The sequence below is a fragment of the Homo sapiens genome, chromosome 4, assembly GCF_000001405.40.
Source record: "Homo sapiens chromosome 4, GRCh38.p14 Primary Assembly".
Lineage (NCBI taxonomy): Eukaryota > Metazoa > Chordata > Mammalia > Primates > Hominidae > Homo > Homo sapiens.
The window spans coordinates 84,564,372-84,582,567 of record NC_000004.12 but is presented as its reverse complement, the minus strand read 5'-3'; the positions used below and the strand labels follow the sequence as shown (position 1 = coordinate 84,582,567).

Sequence of the window (18,196 nt, the reverse complement as noted above, 5' to 3'; positions counted from 1 at the left end):
ACACGCGCGGCGGGTCGGAGGCTCACTGGACCAGAAACTTGTCTGGCAGGACGGACTGGTTGGCCCCGCGGCATTCCAGCCCAGTGTCATCACCTTGAAAACAGGAGATGCTTTTGCCTCACTGGGCGTCCAGAGGTGCGTCGGCCAACAATTCCGATCACAACCGCAGCGCCGTCTCCCAGAAACTCAGTACTGAATCTCACAAAGGTCACCACCTAGGATCCCAACACAGTGTGAGATGCTATGGGACGCCGTTGCCCTCCAGCTAGTCTCTGAGCAGTGGTGGACCTTGGGCTGCCAAAGCGGGAACAGGAAGGGCACAAGATCTGCATTAATTCTAGTCTTAATCCTGTTAGAAGGTGATTAGTTTTCTTGACATGTATCCGCCACCCGGTCATTACTGACAAGCTAACAAATGAAAAAAAGAGAGAAACAAAGAGAAAAAAGAAAAAAGGCGGGCCTTCACACAGGACAAGGTTCAGGAGAGCACCCTTATAGAAATAGATCAACTATGTAAATTCCTCAAGGTCTTTACTGACACGGTAAAAGTAAGTAAAGTGTTGAAAATTTACTAACAAATGAGCAAAACCAAAAGTCAAATTAGGATGCATTGAAAAGCAGAACACAAAGACATCATTTTACCTCACCAAACAGATCTTTGAAGCTGTGCGGTTAGTTTGGGTTGCACGTTTTCAAAAGGATGTCGAGAAACCATAATTTGTTCCTTATGGGGTGGATAACTGAAATGACAGAGAAGATTTGAAAATAAGTCCCTACTGAACAGAGAACTATGGGGTGACTACATTAATAAATTGTCCAATTGTTTGGAGGATCGGAAATGAAGGAGTGCTTGATAGTGAAGAAGATAATCAGAATAATGGCTGAAGCCAGTAGTAGGGTTTCCATCTCTGGCTACTACCCTACCCTGCATAAAGGATTAGAAGTGCTCCATTCTAACTCTCTGGAAGTCAAGAAGCCTGAGTTCTAGTGCTGCCAATGCCACTAATTGCATGGCCTTGGTAAGTTATTAACCCTCAGTGTCCTCAGCTGTAAACGGATAGTAAGGATGGCCTCTGTGGTCCCTTTTAGCTCTTAGACGATCAGAATCCAGCCTTTGCTTTCCCCCATGGTCCAAGAAAAGGAGACCTACTACACAAGGTACCTGAACAACTTCCTGTTTCCCCTTTGCCTAGTCCTCTCATGGCCTCTTTGACTTTTTCCCTTTGCTGCAGGAGGAAAAAAGAGAGTGAGAGGAGTGACAGAGGGGAACAACAGAGGACAGTAGTGCGTGATAGAAGAAACAGTATTCCCCAACCCAGGAAAAGTGGGACCAATGCAAAGACTGCCAAAATAGAATGTGAGGTTCTACTTACCTCACCTTCCTTAAGCTCTGCTCCTTCTTGTGTTTTAGCTAAGAGAGCAATTTCTTTCAATCTTCTTCATTATAGCTATTACCACTAGTTGAGTGAATAGACTGAGTCCAGACAGCAGAAACTGGCTTATTCATCTTTACAGGTCTAGCTCTTTCCACAGTGCCAAAAACCACCCTTCTATAGGTAACAATGTTTGCTGAAGAGGTGAATGAAGAAATGATGGGATGGCAAAGGTATAGCACAACAAGGGAAATTTATACAGTCATATGTTGTTTAACAGTGGGGATACATTCTTAGAAATGCATCATTGGGCAACATCACAGGGTATACTAAACCTAGATGGCATAGCCTACTGCACACCCAGGCTACATGGTATAGCCTATTACTTAGACAACTGTAACACAATGGTAAGTATTTGTGTATCTAAACATAGAAAAGGTACTATAAAAATATGGTATTATAATCTTATAGGCTACAGTGGTATATGTGGTCCATTGTTGACTGAAACATTGTTATGCAACCCATGAATGTATAGTATTTATGGTTTCTTCATTTAAAGTCTATTTTAGACTTACATAGACACTTTTCTTCATTTTCACTTTATATCAGAGAGAAGTTGATTTTAATACTTATTAAAAGTGGTTGTAGTAATGACTTTATTTTACTTAAGATACTGTACAATATACTCAACCACAACTGGCTTACGGAACTCTGTGTTCTCAGACTTTTTCTATGTCTTTTTTCTAATTTTTCCTTTTTCTTTCTTTTTTATTTTTATCTTTCGTTTTCATTCAGGGAACTTATGTTCTCTAAATTTATTGTATTTGTGTTTGGTAACACAAAATCTGGCGTGTAATGGTTTCTAAGGCTTTACCTGTTAATTTTTCTTGTATTTATCCTGCTGAAGGGCTTCATGGAAACCCTAAGCATATGCATGGGCCTAATCACGTAGTACAACCCAGCCAGCACTTCTTGGATTGATTTTAAGATTTTCCAGCCGGGCGTGGTGGCTCACATCTGTAATTCCAGCACTTTAGGAGGCTGATGCATGAATGTCTCTTGAGCCCAGAAGTTCAAGACCAGCCTGGGCAACATATGGAGACCCCATCTCTACACAAAAATTTAAAAATTAGCTGGGCATGGTGGCGTGTGCCTGTAGTCCCAGCTACTTGGAAAGCTGAGGCGGGTGGATTGCTTGGGCCTGGGAGTTCGAGGCCTCTGTGACCCCTGTTCACTCTACTGCACTCTAGCCTGGGTGACAGAGTGAGACCCTATCTCAAAAAAATTAAAAAAAAAATTTTAAAAAAAATTTTTTTTCACCTTCTAACTCCTAATGAGGAATTTGCTAGAGAGATGAGAGAGAGTGCTAACGTTATTGCTTATATGGTTTTTATTTTAGATTACTGTTTACCTTCTCTTTTGCTGGAAGTAATAAGAGCATAAGATGCAGAGACGTTGCCTGAAGTAGTGAGAGTAGATGAAGCAGTTTGTTACCACTCTTCCCTGAATACCCTCAGAATGTTCCCAGACTGATAAACATGCCCCTCTGGGGTGGGAATGTGAATCTGAGCTGCTTTTCACATCAGAGGCTCAAAGGTGCCCTGCTGGAATGTCCCCAGCTTGCCAGGGGCGGAAGAAATCTTCCTCAGCCAAGCGTTTCCAGTTGCTTAGATACCCAAGTAACAGCTTTTGTCGCTTGACCTATCTTTCTCTGTTGCCCTCTGTCAGCTTTGTTTATAAGTTAGAGGTAGGAATTTCTGATTTAGGCCACCAGAGAAACATTTTATGGGAAAATCTTGAAAAACAACTTATATTTACATTTTTATTTTTAATGGAATTGCACGGGAAAATAATGGTGTACTATCAAGTATTGTAGTGAGAGAGTATCAGAGGAGAGAGTGCTATGGTGTAGTTAGAAGTATGGAGTTTCTATACCAAGAACCCTGGGTTTGAGTCATAGCTTGAACCTAGCTTGAATCATAGCTTGAATCTAGCTGTGACCTAATTTGCTTTCAGCAACATTTTCATCAAACACAGCTGAAGCTATATCCTAAATGACATGTTCCTTCATAATTTAAGTAATAATTCTTTACATAACACTTTACAAAGCACTTTCGCATGCATTATTTCATTTCTTCTACTCAACAATCTACAAGCTAGGCATAACAAATATTACTCCTGTTTTACAAGGAAGAAAACCTGAGGCTTAGATGTAAAGGGTTAGAAAGGAAAGCTAAGTTTTTATACTTAGTATAAGTATAAAACTTATATTAAGTTTTATACTTCAAAATCTGCCTGGTCCATGATGTAGTACAAATATATAGCAGCAGAAACAAGCAACTTCTAAAGCTGGGGGTGGGGGTTAGTTTGTTATAACAGGCACATAAATTCTGAAGCTAGCCTGAGTTCAAATCCCAGCTCTGCCACCTACTGGCCTTAGGCAATTAGCTTCAGTGTCCTTGTGCAAAATTAGGATAAGGTAATATTTTCTTCCTAGGATTCTTATGAAGACTAAACTGGTTAATATATGTAAAATACTTAGAATAGTGTCTGGCCATCGTGAAGCACCACACAAGTGTTACTTATTACTATCATTCATATTATTGAAAGCTACATTTCTTGAGGAGAACAATATTTGACTTCTAAATTCGCTAAACTGCAACACCCCAGAGGACTGTGAAGAAATAAGGATATGCTGATATTGCTTTGGTGAGGTAGGTAGAAATTATGAAATGGGGTAGAGAGACTTTGCAAACAAGTACAAAGAAATCAGCCTACCCAATTAGTTAATTTGTGCCTTATCCTTCTGAGGTAGTACAATTAATGAATTTGGCATTCCCCATTATTAACTGAAATCAGTTACTACTCTTCTACCTTGTATATAATATGACGACTGTGGAATTCCTTCCATTTCTAGGTTCTTCACTGAATCCTAGTAGCTCTAAGCAAATTAAATTTTGTTTTAATTTCTTTGTAAAGTAGGCAACATATTTCTTCTATAATTTTATAAATTGTGCTTTTAAAAATGGGTATATGTGAGCTTTTTATACTGTATGGTTCAAGTATTTTGTTATTGTTGAATATGGCTATATATATGTGTGTGTGTGTATATATATATATATATATATATATATATATATATATATTTAGAGGATATCATTTGGAGAAGTGGAAGAGATTGGTAACTGTCTTTAGAAGGGCCGAATCACTGATTTGCCTCAAACTATGTCAGTTATCCCTCTTCAACAAATTGCAGAAATCCAGAGGTATCAGTTAAAGCATGCGGCAAAAAACACTGATTCTGGTTGAGTTGGGCAGACAAGGAACTTATTGAAAGGATGTTAAGAAGTTCACAGAACTCTTGGAAGAACTGAAGAACACAGCATAGAAAACTGGGAGAAACAAGGAATTTCAAGCAACAGTCAGGATTACAGTCAAAATTATTCCTAAAACCTCAATTGAGGCCACCATTGCTAGATCCACTGGAACAGGACATGACAGCTTGCTCTGTCACTGAGGTAGGCACCAGTCACTGGTTGCCACAGTTGCAATTGCTAATCCTTTCTTACTTAGGTTTTTTTCTTCGCAAACTCTTTATTATTAATAATAGTTTAATAGGAGGAATCATATTCTGGTAAAATGCAATAATAGCCTAAGATTTCTGTGAAAAGAGCCTTGCTAATCAGATAAATAAAAGTTTTAGTTTATATCTTTTACAAGAGATAAACACTATACTTCTCCTCTAAGACATCCTACTTATTTATGTTTTAACTCCTCTAAAATCACAGTGTGTCTTACAATTGATGCAATAAGAAATAGTTTTATTGGCCATTTTATTTTTCTTCACAGTACATAAAATATGGTGCATTTTAAAAATGATTTAATTGAGTCTATGAAGTACAACACTCTAAAGATTATTGTTAGGAAGATCACATATCTTGGATTTTTCCAGATAGTCCCAATTATATGTACTTTTTTCTTTCAGTGAAGAGTATTTATTAAATATGTAACTATATATGTTTTTTTATTTTGAAAACTTTTTCACATCTATATATTCTCATAGCAAAAAAAAATTTCCTAGACTATATGAGGCCTCATTTTTTGTTTGAAAAATATAGTCAATAATATGTTTTAAAAATTATTTCACTGGTGAATGTATTTTATTCCTGAAAATTAAAAAAGACTTTTAAAGTTTACATATTTTTGGTGATACCTATTGTTTGTTGCAATTGTCTCTTTTCTCATAGTTTGATTTACTAAAAAATATTTTTGTCGTATTTTCAGAAATGTCATTGATTTGCCCCCCAAATTATACTAATATCCCAAATTATTGTGGAGATTAATTTCCCCTTAACAATAATAATTTATGCATTTTACCATTTAGCATTTGATGCATTTTTATGCATTTAACTGGGAGGAGTTGGTGAATGGGAGTAGTAAAGACTGTGGCCTCCAGACAGTTGGGAAAATCCTAGAACAGGAAATCTATTAGAGTGTCTTTGGTTGGACCAGGACTGGTTGTTAACCTAAGATGCTTAAGAAAGACCTAATACAGCAGTGGTGTTCTTTTGTTTTGTGTTTTTGTTAACAAACTGGGCTTCAGCAACATACCATGCAGAGTGTAAGTTCTGTACTATTGCTTTTAAAGAACAAATGCCACAATGATTTACTTCGATTAGGTTTTGCCAAGTTATTTCCAGAACATCTTATTCAAGGACACTTTGAGATTTCATAAGGCAAAGCTTTGCATTACCTTACTTGCAAAGCAAATTTAGACAAATTTGGTGATCTTGTTAAGAGAATAAGTGAACAGTATTGATCTGTATATATGTAGATTAAACCAATTTTTCAGAACTGTGGAATCCTTGACAAATATTTATTTATTTTTATTTTTTTTTCTTTTTTTTTAGAGACAGTGTCTCACTCTGTCACCCAGGCTGGAGTGCAGTGGTACAATCATAGCTCACTGCAACCTCAAACTCCTGGGATCAAGGGATCCTTCTGCTTAAGCCTCCCTAGTAGCTAGTACTACAGGCAGGTACCACCATGCCAGGCTAACCTATTTATTTATTTATTTATTTGTAGACAAGAGTCTTGCTATGTTGCTCAGGCTGGTCTCGAACTCCTGATCTCAAGTGATCCTCCTGATTGTTAACATACCAGTGTTGGGAAAAATTGATTTGGAAATGAGCAAAAGAAATTTCTGGCTATTCTTACAGTGGACCTTAAGCATGCCTAGGGGGCCTGCTAGGCACTATTTGATTTCATAGGGGGATGCACAATTTTTTTTTTATAGATGGAGTCTCACTATGTTGTTCAAGCTGTGGTGCAGTGGCTATTCACAGGCTCAATCATAGTGCACTACAACCTTGAACTCCTCTTGGACTCAAGTGATCTTCCCACCTCAGCTTCTGGAGTAGCTGGACCACAGGTGTGCACCACCATGCCCAGCTGGGGATGCACCTTTGATTGTCTTTGATCAAATAGGCTGTTTTACAACTCTGTTGGAATAAAAAAAGTGCTTTGTGGAAAACTGATAACCACGTTCTTGTTCATGGCAATGTAAGTGAATTTTGTCTGATAGAGGATATAAATCATTTTAAGTCAGAAACCCATTTGAACTAATTTTAATGTATCTCTAGTTCTCTCATTTGTAAATGCATGAAATCTTTGATATGTGTTCATTTTATATTTGTATAAGATTTGTGATTTTTGCACTTTTGGAAATGATACTTCAGCTATAGTAATAATGCATGTTTGTTTTTATTCGATAAATATTCATCTGCATATGTAACAAATATTTATTGAGTACCTACAATGTCAGAACACAGTGCTAGGCACTATATAGCAGATATATATATGTATATATACACAAATGATACATAAATACACACTAGAGTTAAAAAGTTAAACAATACAGTATTATCTAGAGCATATAACAACATAAAGGTGATTTTCCATCTTTCTGGAAACACTTCTTTCCCTAGAAATAACCACTGTTGTTAACTGTTTGCCAGAGTTTCTTGCAGATCTGTTTCTTATGTAAGTATATATGCACATGCATATATTCTACATAATGTTCTGTGACATAATTTTTTATTTAATATTATGCCTTAAAGCACTTTTTGTGTTTATAAGTACATTCTAATTCTTTAAAATCATTATATATATACATGGTGTGACTGTACCATATTTTACTTAGCCATTTGTACAGCAGACATTTAGGGATTTCCCCGATTTTGTAGTTATTAAAATAACACTGCAATAAACATCCTTGAACATATATTTATGAAACATGTGCAATTCTATAGATACCTAGACATGGAGCAATAGATCAAAGAATACGTGCATTCAATACTTTGATAAATTCTACAAGATTTCCCTCCCAGATGGCTGTACCAATTGCTATATGTTGATTAACTCAGATTCCTATTATAATACCTCTGAGGATGATGTTGGGGTGGAGATAGAAATATGTTAGAATAGATAGAATAGGTTGTGCCACTAACTTCTCTAACTGGTGTGTGGACTTATCCTTTCTTTAATTCTAACACCAACTGCGAGAATTGCTTATTTTAGAACTTCCATTTGAGAAAGCTGAGGCCAAATGCAGGAAATTGCAGTTTTCGCAGTTTTCTTTCATTTCCCCTCACCCGCCTACTCTGCTATCACATGAAGATCCAAGTTACATCAGATCCTTCTCCTCTCCCAGCTCCATTACTTACCAGGAGCCATCTCAGGCAGGCTGGGTTTTACTTTGTGTCTTCGTCCATTCAGGGTGCGGTAAGAAAGTACCATAAACTGGGTGGCTTAAACAACTTATGCTTATTTCTCACAGTTCTGGAGGCTGGGAAATCTGAGATCAATGTTCTGGCAGATCTAGTGTCTGGTGAGGGCCCTCTTCCTGGTTTGCAGATAGCTGCCTTCTCGTTGTACCCTTACAGGGTAGAGAACAGAGAAACAGAGAGGCAGAAAGAGAGAGAGAGAGAGAGAATGAGAAAGAGAGCACTCTCATGTCTGTTCTTCTAAGGGCACTCATCCTGTCATGAGGACTCCACTCTAATAAACTAATTTCCTCCCAAAGGCCCCATCTCCAAATACCATCACACTGGGAATTTTAGGGTTTCAAGATGTGAATTTGGAGGTGACACATTCAGTCCATAGTACTTTGTTTTAGAATTTTCTCTCCAGACATGAGTCTGACAGCACATACCCCTGCTGATGTGGAGGAAGAGTGGTAGACAGTTGTGGCCCCACCCTTTGAAACCAAGGATGCAGCCCTGATGAATCACCTTTGAAGTCATTCTTTCCTTTTCTTGAAGAATAGTTCCTGTTTGCAGTCAAATCGCTCTATCGTAACTGTCCTATAGAATTTAAATCTGACAGCCTTTCTTCATTTTGTCCTGTCTCCATCTTCTTCAGTTCAAACTGACAGTATTTCTGCTGATATAATTCTATAACCTTTGTTATCAAGTGATAGTCTAGCCACACTCTTGGTGTCCTCTTCCAAACATGCCTTCACATATTTTGCAATATGGGCAGGCTGAAGATTTTCCAAATCTTTAAGCTCTGGTTCCTTTTTGCATAACAATTTCTTCTTCAATTCATTTCTCACTTCTTACATTTTACTAAGCAAGAGGAACCAAGACACTCCTGTAGCACTTGGCTTAGAAATCTGCATAGCTAAATATCTAGTTTCATCGCTTCCAAGTTCTGCCTTTCACAAAACACTAGGACACAACTCAGACAATTTCTGTGACATTTTATGACCAGAATCACGTTTCCTCCAGTTTCCAATAATTTATGTTCCTCTTTCCATCTGAGATCTCCTCAGAATGGCCTTTAACACCTGGTATTTCTGCCAACAGTCCCTTCATGACTGTCTAGGTTTTTTTCTAGCATGCACCTCAAAACTCTTCTGACCTCTATCTACCTTGTACCCAGTTTTAAAGCCTCTTCCACATTTTCAAGTATAGTTTGCAACACACCCCATTCTGTATACCAAAATCTGTATTAATTAGCTTGGGCTGCCATCACAAAATACCACAGACTGATGGCATAAACAACAGAAACTTATTTTCTCCCAATTCTGAAGGCTGAAAGTCAAGATCACAGTACCAGCCTGACTGGTTTCTGTTGAGGGCCCTCTTCCTGGCTTGCAGACGGTTGCCTTCTTGCTATGTCCTCACATGGTGGAGAGAAAAGGAGAGCTATCCAGTGACCTTTCTTATAAGGACACTAATCCTATCAGACCATGGCCTTACCCTTATGACCACATGTGACTACAATTACTTCTCATTACAGAACAGAATATTTAAGAGGCTACAAGAAATTGAATCAACATATATTGCTGAGCAGCTGCATGTGGAAAAGGAAGGGTGAGGAATTAAGAAACGTAGGCACGTTTTTGACTTGGGTGGCCAGGTGGCTGGTGTTGTCATTCCTGGAGACTGGGACTACAGGAGGAGAAATAGGGTTGAAGGAAGATGGAAGAGAAAAAATGAGATGCCTAGTAAGTATTAGGCACTATTGGTCATTTTACATATGATATGCTTAATCCCTACCACAAACGTGTAAGGTTAATCTACTGATCATTTAGATGAGGACAAGCAGAGAATCACTTGCCCAAGTTCAAACAAGAATCAGTAGAGAAGTTACATCTGCCACCCAGACCCTACCCTCTCTGCTCCACCCACTGGCTAGCTCTATGTCCATGCTCACACATGGATACTTCAAGGAGCCTGTGACACATCTCAGGCAGGTGGCAGCAGGAAGCCGGCCTTGCTAGTTTTAAGAGCTGTAGATATTTGCTTGCAAACCATTAGCATAAAGACAGTTACAGAAGGGGTCAGAATAAGAAAGTAAGATAATTTCTTCATAATAAGCCAAAATGTAAGGGCCTCAATCATATCCTATCTCATATCAGAAGCATCAGGATGTTTTCCGCATTCTATGAAGCACTTTAATCAGTTATAAGTAGCAATTCGAATTTGGGCAATGAGCTAATAGATAATTTCCTACCAGACGGCTCCATTGAGTGTTTTATAAAAAGTAGCTAGAAATGTGGGATTACCTGTGAATTCCCAACTGTTTTCTGAACACAGTAGCTTCACTTATTCAGAGATGTAAAGATAGGTATTTCAATATTTATTTTTGCAAGGCTCATAATTATTATTGAATATTGTTTTTATTCATAATTTTTAATAGTTTCATCTCTTTCATATTTTAGGAACTATTTCATGCATACTGTTTAAATGCATCATATTTGAATAACCAGGTATCCTAATGTGGAACCTGGGATATTTATTTATTTCACAACTATTCATTGAATTTCTGTTCTGTGCCACATACTATTCTAGGTGTTGATCTATGACAGTTAATCTGACAGACAAAAATCACTTACCCCTTGGAGCTTATATTCTTGGAAAGGTGGAGAGAGGAAAGACAGACCAATAAACAAATGAATATATAAAATGTTAGCTGGTAAGTCCTATGGAGAAATATAAAACTGCTAGATGGGAGGGTAGGGGATTATGATGGGGTGGCAGGGTGAAATCTGGGAGGGCAGGGGTATTCTATTTTATTTAGAATGGTTAGAGGAGACCTAACCACTAATCGTCAGGTGCAATTTGAGCCCCAGACTGAAGGAGGTGAAGTAGTGAATCACGTGAATAATCCAGGTAAAGAACAATCAAGGTAGAGAGAACAAGTGCAAAGGCTCTGAGGCATGAGTTTGCTAAACATCTTCTGGAATCTACAAGGAGGTCAGTGTAGCCAGAGCTGAATGAGTGAAAAGAAGATGATCAGGGGCCAGCCTGACTTGGAGTGTGTGTCGCTGGATCATGTAAGCCCTAGTAGAACTGATTAAGGACTTACACTCTGAATGAGATAAGCACCCAGAGATAGGAAGCCATCAGAAGGTTTTGGTTTCTTTTATTTTTTGTAGAGACAGGGTCTCACTCTGTTGCCCAGCCTGGTCTCAAACTCCTGCCTCAAGTGATCCACCTTGGCCTCCCAAAGTGCTGGGATTACAGGTGTGAGCCACTGCGTCTGGCCTATTGGAAGATTTTAAGAAGAGGGATGACATGATCACCTAAGTTGTGAAAGGATTGTCCTGGTGCCATGTGGAGTACGGACTGTAGGAGCTAAGATAGAATCAGAAAACCAGTTGGGAGGCTTCTGAGATGATGGTGGCTTGTGCCAGCTTGTTAATTAAGGAGGTCATGAGAAAGCATCAAATTCTTTATGGTTTGAAGGTAGAGCCAACAGAATTTTCTTTTGGCTTGGAGGCAGGATGTGACAGAAAGACACCAAGGTTTTTGCTTTGAACAACTGGAAGGATGGGACATCTCTTAGAGAGATGGAGAAGACTATAGGGGCAGTGGGACATAAGTCTGTGCGGTCTTAACTGTGAGTCTACCTGTTAGCATGTGGTTGTTAAGAGTATAGACTATGAAATTAAGTCTTTGTATCTAGAAAGTGGGGTCTGGCTGTGAAATCTCTGTGCTCCTCACATGGGCTAAGGAGAGGCAGGGGACACCTCAGTATCTACACAGCTGCAATGGGCCCTACAAAGAATAATGTGCTCATATACTTGTTAAAAACTTCCAAGGGATGTGTGGATTCTGAACCTCCCCCTTTTTAATTTCAACTGTGGCATTATATACATATAGTAAAGGTCACATATCTTAAGGGCAAAACTTGAATTTTTACATATGCATACACCCGTGAAACCAGCATCCCAGATCAAGGTCTAAAATATTTCCATTGCCCGGGAATGCTCCCTCAGTGCCCTTGCCAGTCTATACTGGTTCCCCTCTTTCTGCAGAGGTAGCTACTATCCTAACTTCTGTCACCAAAGATTTCTTTATTTCTTGGACTTTATATAAACAGAATCATACAGTATGTGCTCATTTACATCTGATTTATTTTAATCATCTATGAGTTTCATCCACGTAATGTGTGTAGCAATAGTTCCTTTTATATATTTCATATTTTTCAATGATGTATGGTATAAATTGTATAAATAAACCAAAGTTTACTTATTCATCCTGGTGTAAATGAACATTGGCATTGTTTCTGGTTTGGGGATATTATTCATAAAGCTACTGTAAGCATTCATAAATGTGTCTTCTGGTGGACTTGCACTCATTTTTCTTGCATATATACCTGGGAATGAAATTTGCTGAGTCATCCTTTTTTTTTTTTTTTTTTGAGACAGAGTCTCGCTTTTGTTGCCCAGGCTGGAGTACAATGGCCTAGTATCTGCTCACCGCAATTTCCGCCTCCCGGGTTCAAGCGATTCTCCTGCCTCAGCCTCCCGAGTAGCTAGGATTACAAGTATGTGCCACCACGCTCGGCTAATTTTGCATTTTTAATAGAGACAGGGTTTTGCCATGTTGGTCAGGCTGGTCTCGAACTCCGGACCTCGGGTGGTCTGTCCACTTTGGCATTCCAAAGTGCTGGGATTACAGGCATGAGCCACCACACCCAACCGAGTCATTCTCTTTTAAAACGTTTGTAACTTGACGTCATTCTTATTCAAATGAAACCTCTATTTTTTGAAAAAGTCCCCTATCAACCAGAACAAAACTCTGTACTTCAGCACTTTGTCACATCTCCTACAGACAAATCTACTCCTCAAAGAATTCTTAATAATAAATGATTTAGTATTAATATATGCACTTATTATAGACCAGGCACCATGCCAAGTTCTTTACTTGAGCTCATATAATCATCAGAAGAACTCTTTGACGTAGACACTATTATTTTCCCCATTTTACAAACAAGGAAACTGAGGCATTAAGTCGAAGGATTTGCTTGCTGTCTTGCAGGTGCTAAATGGTACAGCCAGGATTCAGCCAGGTCCCATTCTTACTGCAAGAGTTTGTGGGAAGTACTTTTGTTTTCTCCCACAGTTTATCTTCAGCTACCTGTTGCTGCCATGTTCTCCTCAGCCTTGCCTTGCAGCATCTCCACCTCCCATCCTCCACCCACTTGACCCCATTTCTCTTCCTTTTTCCATGGCACAATTTAGCGCATCCCAGCTGTCTCAATTGTGCTTCCTACTCTTACTATTTCAAATATGCAAAAGCCTTTATCCTGAAGTTGACTATTCTCAGCAAGCAAAGATACCTCAATTACCAACCAACATCCATCCTCTTGAGAAGGGCAGATAGGGTGTTTGTATGGGAAAAGGGGAATAATTTTAAATAATACAAATTGTGTTTTCCTGTCAGATGTGTCTTTGAAAAGATGTTTGTTTTGTTTTTGTTTTCACGGATTTTCTTTTTACTTCTCTTTCCCTGGTGTGTGGTAGGTGGTCTAGTATTTTGGTGACTGATGGGACATGAAGGATGATAGAAATAGATGTGGCAAAGATGACTCCAAGGCTTTGATCTCGGGGACTACTAGAGAATGTCTGTGTTTGCCAACAGCAGGGAAATTGAAAAGAGTTGCTCATTCCTCCCAACCCCCAAAGGAATTAGCAGCTGTGGGAGCTGAGAATTTTTTTGGACATGGAAGTTTGGAGAGGATAATGCAACACTGAAGTAAACACATTCAGGTCGTGGGAGTTGTGTGAGACTGTGGTACAAGTGGAGAAACGAAGACTGCAGATAGAAGACTTAGGAATTGCCAGCATAGAGGTGGGGGCTGAAGCAGCAACTGGAAACTATTATTCAAAGAATGAGAGTGCAAAGGGCTGACTGAGTGGGGCAGGGAGAAGTGTGGGAATCCAGGAATGGTAATAAGCAAAAAAAAAAAAAAAAAAAAAAAAGATGGAGAGGTAAGTAGAGAATCTGAATGTTATAACATTATGGAAGCCAAAGAAGAAAAATGTTCAACAACAGCTGCTAACATTTATAAGCCTTTAATAGTGACATGCATTATTTCAGTTAAAATTCTCAAAAACCATATGATCAAAATACTGTTATTTCACCTGTCCTCACTGATGGACATAGTTTATCGAGGTTAGATAATTTGTCTAGAGTCATACAGCAAGTAATCATATCAAGATTAGCTGGACTGTAGGATCACCACCTGTAAGTACTCTATAGGATGCATTTGAGAAGCCAAAGTTTAGATAAAATGGCTGATAGTTATATAATCTTTATTGTGTCCCAGGCTCTGTTAAGTGCCTTTTTATACTTACTGAATTCTGACACAATTTTCAGATCTACTGTTCCCAAACCAAGGTGTAAGGAGGTGTTACATGACTCACCCAAGACCATACATTTGTGAAATAATGGAATTGGAATTAGAACCCTGTCAGTTTATTCCAGAATTTATACAAAAAAAAATGTTTAAGAGGGAGAAAAAGCCATCTTTCCATTTTAGCAGTTAAAAAACATCCAGTCTTTTTGTTTCCTACAGTAGATCTCTTTAACTTATTCCTCGTATCTAACTGAAATTTTCTATCTTTTGATCAGCATCTCCCCAACCTCTCTTCTCCATGACCCCAGCTGCTGGTAACCATCATTCTACTCTCTGCTTTTATGAGTTCATTGTTTTTGTTGTTGTTGATTTTCAGACAGAGTCTCTCTATGTTGCCCAGGCTCAAGTGCAGTGGTGCAATCTTGACTCACTGCAACCTCTGTCTCCTGGGTTCAAGCCATTCTTGTGCCTCAGTCTCCCCAATAGCTGGGATTACAGGCATGCACCACCAAGTCCAGCTAATTTTTTTTTGTGTGTGTGTGTTTTTACTAGAGATGGGGTTTTGCTATGTTGCCCAGGCTAGTCTCAAACTCCTGGTCTCAAGTGATCTGCCCACCTCAACCTCTCAAAGTGTTGGGATTATAGGCATCAGCTACTGCACCTGACCTTGTTTTTTTTTTAGATTCACATATAAGTGAGATCATGCAGTATTTGTCTTCCTGTGTGCGGTTCAGTTCATTTAACATAACGTCCCTGTTTCATCCATGTTGTTGCAAATGCTAGAATTTCCTTCTGTATTAAGGCTAAATAGTATTCCATTATGTACAGATATCACATTTCCTTTATCCATTCATCCATTGATTCCATATTTTGGCTATCGTGAATAGTACTGCAATAAACATAGTGCAGATGTCTCTTCAACAAACTGATTTCATTTCCTTTTTATATACACCTAGTAGTGGAATTGCTGGATCTGAAAGCCACTATCTTAACCTCTGTTAGATATATCTTATACCTTCTCTCTCTGCTCTGTGTCCACCTTGCAGTCTTAGTCTCTGAGAAAATCATATCCATTTCATGATTACCTGCCATCTTCCCCCTGCCATCCCCAACTTTTTCTTCTCAACCATAGAAAAGAACTTGGAGTTTCTGAAGGGCCCAGTAGTCTCAGTTGAGCAGATTTTAATTATAAGTGGAAAATCGCTGACTGCCCTAATATGGCAAAAATGTTAATCATGTAGGTAAAATTTTCTTCTGTCCTTTCTCATTTCTTTTCTCTCTGATGAAAGTCAAGACAAATATTAAATATTTCTCATTGCTTCTTAGGTGAGAAATGCCACCTATGAATGGTTAGGCGAGCAGTGGTAAAAATGGAAGTTTATGTGTTTATTATAACCAGAATGTAGGCTTGCCAGGTGGAGCAGATAAAAATACAGGATGCCCAGTTGAAATTGAATTTCAGTAAAACCACAGATAATTTGTTTAGCATAAGTATGTCCCATGTAGTATTTGGAACATACTTATATTAAAAATAAATATTCACTGTTTATTTGAAACTGAAATTAATACAGGAGTTATTAAGAAATTATCTTAGGCAGTTACAGAGGGTAAAAGGGTTCTCAGTGAAATTTCCCTTTAATAAAAAGCAGCCCCAAACCATTTCTTTTCTAACAGAAAGCAGCCTGAAAAGTCAAGTTGCAAGCATAGATATGCAAGCTAGAAGCTTGCATATGTAAATGTCGGCAGGTGTACCTGGAAGCCAGGTATATTCAATATGGTGATCCCTGCTCCCTTTTCTTTGTCACCACATGTGTGGGTATCATGGCACCGGCCAGATAAAGCCACATATGCAGATGTCATGGTGACAGCCAGACAGGCAGGTGACAGCCAGACAGGCAGGTAGAAGCCACATTTGCTTAATAAAAGATCATGATGGGAGGGCCAGTCTTCTGCAAGCTATGTAAATGGCACACCTGGTCAAACCAATCCCCTGGGCCTTATGTAAATCAATCAGTGCCTCCTCAAGCCTCTGTATAAAATCAGTCAAATCTCACCCCAACCTGGAAACTGTTTTGGGCGACCGCTTTCTCAACAATGAGGAAACTTTCTTTCTCCTCTTCTTTGTCTATTAAACTTTCCACTCCTAAACCCGCTCCTCATGTGTGTCCGCGTCCTAAGTTTTCCTGGCGCGAGACAATGAACCCTGGCTATTTACCCCAGACAATGGAGCCATTTCAAAATTTCACTAGACGTCTTGTATTTTATCTGGCAACTCTACCAGACTGTGAATTCCGTCAGCTGTTCTCTATTTGGTATTTTAATTAATTCAAGCTAGCAATTAATGGCACAAAATGAGAAATGGTACAAAATGTTGTCTCTGGAATTTTGGTCCATTTTAACTCTCCTGGAGATATTTATAAACTGTACTTTCTGAATATTCTGATACTATGAGCAGCAGGAGACAGGATGCCCACATTTTCCAGAGAATGGGACACGCAGATATATCTAACACTCAACAAAATTATATTTATGTTTGCTATGGTCCGAATGTTTATGTCCCCCCAAACTCATATGTTGAAATCCTCACCCGAAAGGTGATGGTATTAGGAGATGGGACCATTAGGAGGTGATTACGTTTTGGGGATGAAGCACTTGATAATGAGATTTGTGCACATATAAAAGAGGCTCAAGGGATCCTCTTTGCCCTTTCCAGCATGTGAGGACAGAGCAAGAAGGTGCCACCTAGAGCCAGAACACAGTTCCTCCCCAGATGTAGAATCTGCTTTGATCTTGAACTTCCCAGTCTCCAGAACTACGGCAATGAATTTCTATTATAAGCTACTTAGTTTATGGTATTTTCTTATAACAGATCAAGTAGACTAAGACAATGTTATAATTTGAGTCTGGGTGGCTCATGACTATCTGGTTTCACAGTGAATTTGAGTATTCACTGGCTATATCTATCTAATTAAAAATGATGGTCAATTCTGTGATTTTTGTATTTATTTAAATCAGGCACATAGCTATTCAAAGTCCCTCCCAAGGCCTCTCGTTTTTAGTTTCAAATATCTGGTTATTCTTCACATAACCTACTTTTCTCTTGTTACTCACTTTTTCACTTTCTGCAGTACTCTACTAAGTTCAGATCCCCTCCCCCCCCCTTTTTTTTGAGACAGGGTCTGGTTCTGTCACCCAGGCTGGAGCGCAGTGGTATGATCTTGGCTCACTGCAACCTCTGCCTCCTGGATTCAAGCGATTCTACTGCTTCAGCCTTCAGAGTAGCTGAGATTACAGGCACGTGCCCCCATACCTGGCTAATTTTTCTATTTTTAGTAGAGACAGGGTTTCACAATGTTGACCAGGCTGATCTGGAACTCCTGAGCTCAACTAATCTGCCCCCACTCGGCCTCCCAAAGTGCTGGGATTACAGGTGTGAGCCACCATGCCCAGCCCAGACCCCTTTTCTTATGTATAAAAGCTATTAAAGATATCTGATTAGAAACAAAACACAATTGCAATTGTGATGGATAGAATATGTATGCTGGTGTGTGACTTTCCTAACGTGGCTTCTTTTGCTCTGATAGATACAATGTTTTTATACTTTTTGACAGTTAAGAGTACCTATTATATCAGTACCATGGAATTGCCTTATAGTTTATACCCATTAA

The 18,196-nt window shown here is 38.9% G+C and overlaps 1 long non-coding RNA gene across 6 annotated transcripts in view, besides 1 other annotated feature; it reads left to right on the top strand.

Moving 5' to 3' along the window:
- The first annotated feature begins 346 nt into the window (after positions 1 to 346).
- The window catches only part of LOC102723338 (uncharacterized), a 55,402-nt gene continuing 37,552 nt past the window's right edge, over positions 347 to 18,196 (top strand). For 4 of the 6 annotated variants that reach the window (XR_007058461.1, XR_007058458.1, XR_007058459.1 and 1 more), the window contains exons 1-2: positions 8,090 to 9,885; positions 10,733 to 10,856. This is a non-coding gene — a long non-coding RNA (uncharacterized LOC102723338). Of the gene's footprint in view, positions 1,020 to 8,089; positions 9,886 to 10,732; positions 10,857 to 18,196 lie in introns of those variants that run through there. The other 2 variants (XR_007058460.1, XR_007058456.1) reach the window with 1 other exon arrangement.
- Positions 16,137 to 16,778: an enhancer, noted in NCBI's record as "OCT4-NANOG hESC enhancer chr4:85486943-85487584 (GRCh37/hg19 assembly coordinates)". NCBI's record gives its function as "activates a minimal SCP1, AML or CMV promoter by ChIP-STARR-seq in primed H9 embryonic stem cells {active_cell/tissue: H9 hESC(primed)}" and the evidence as "EXISTENCE:reporter gene assay evidence [ECO:0000049][PMID:30033119]".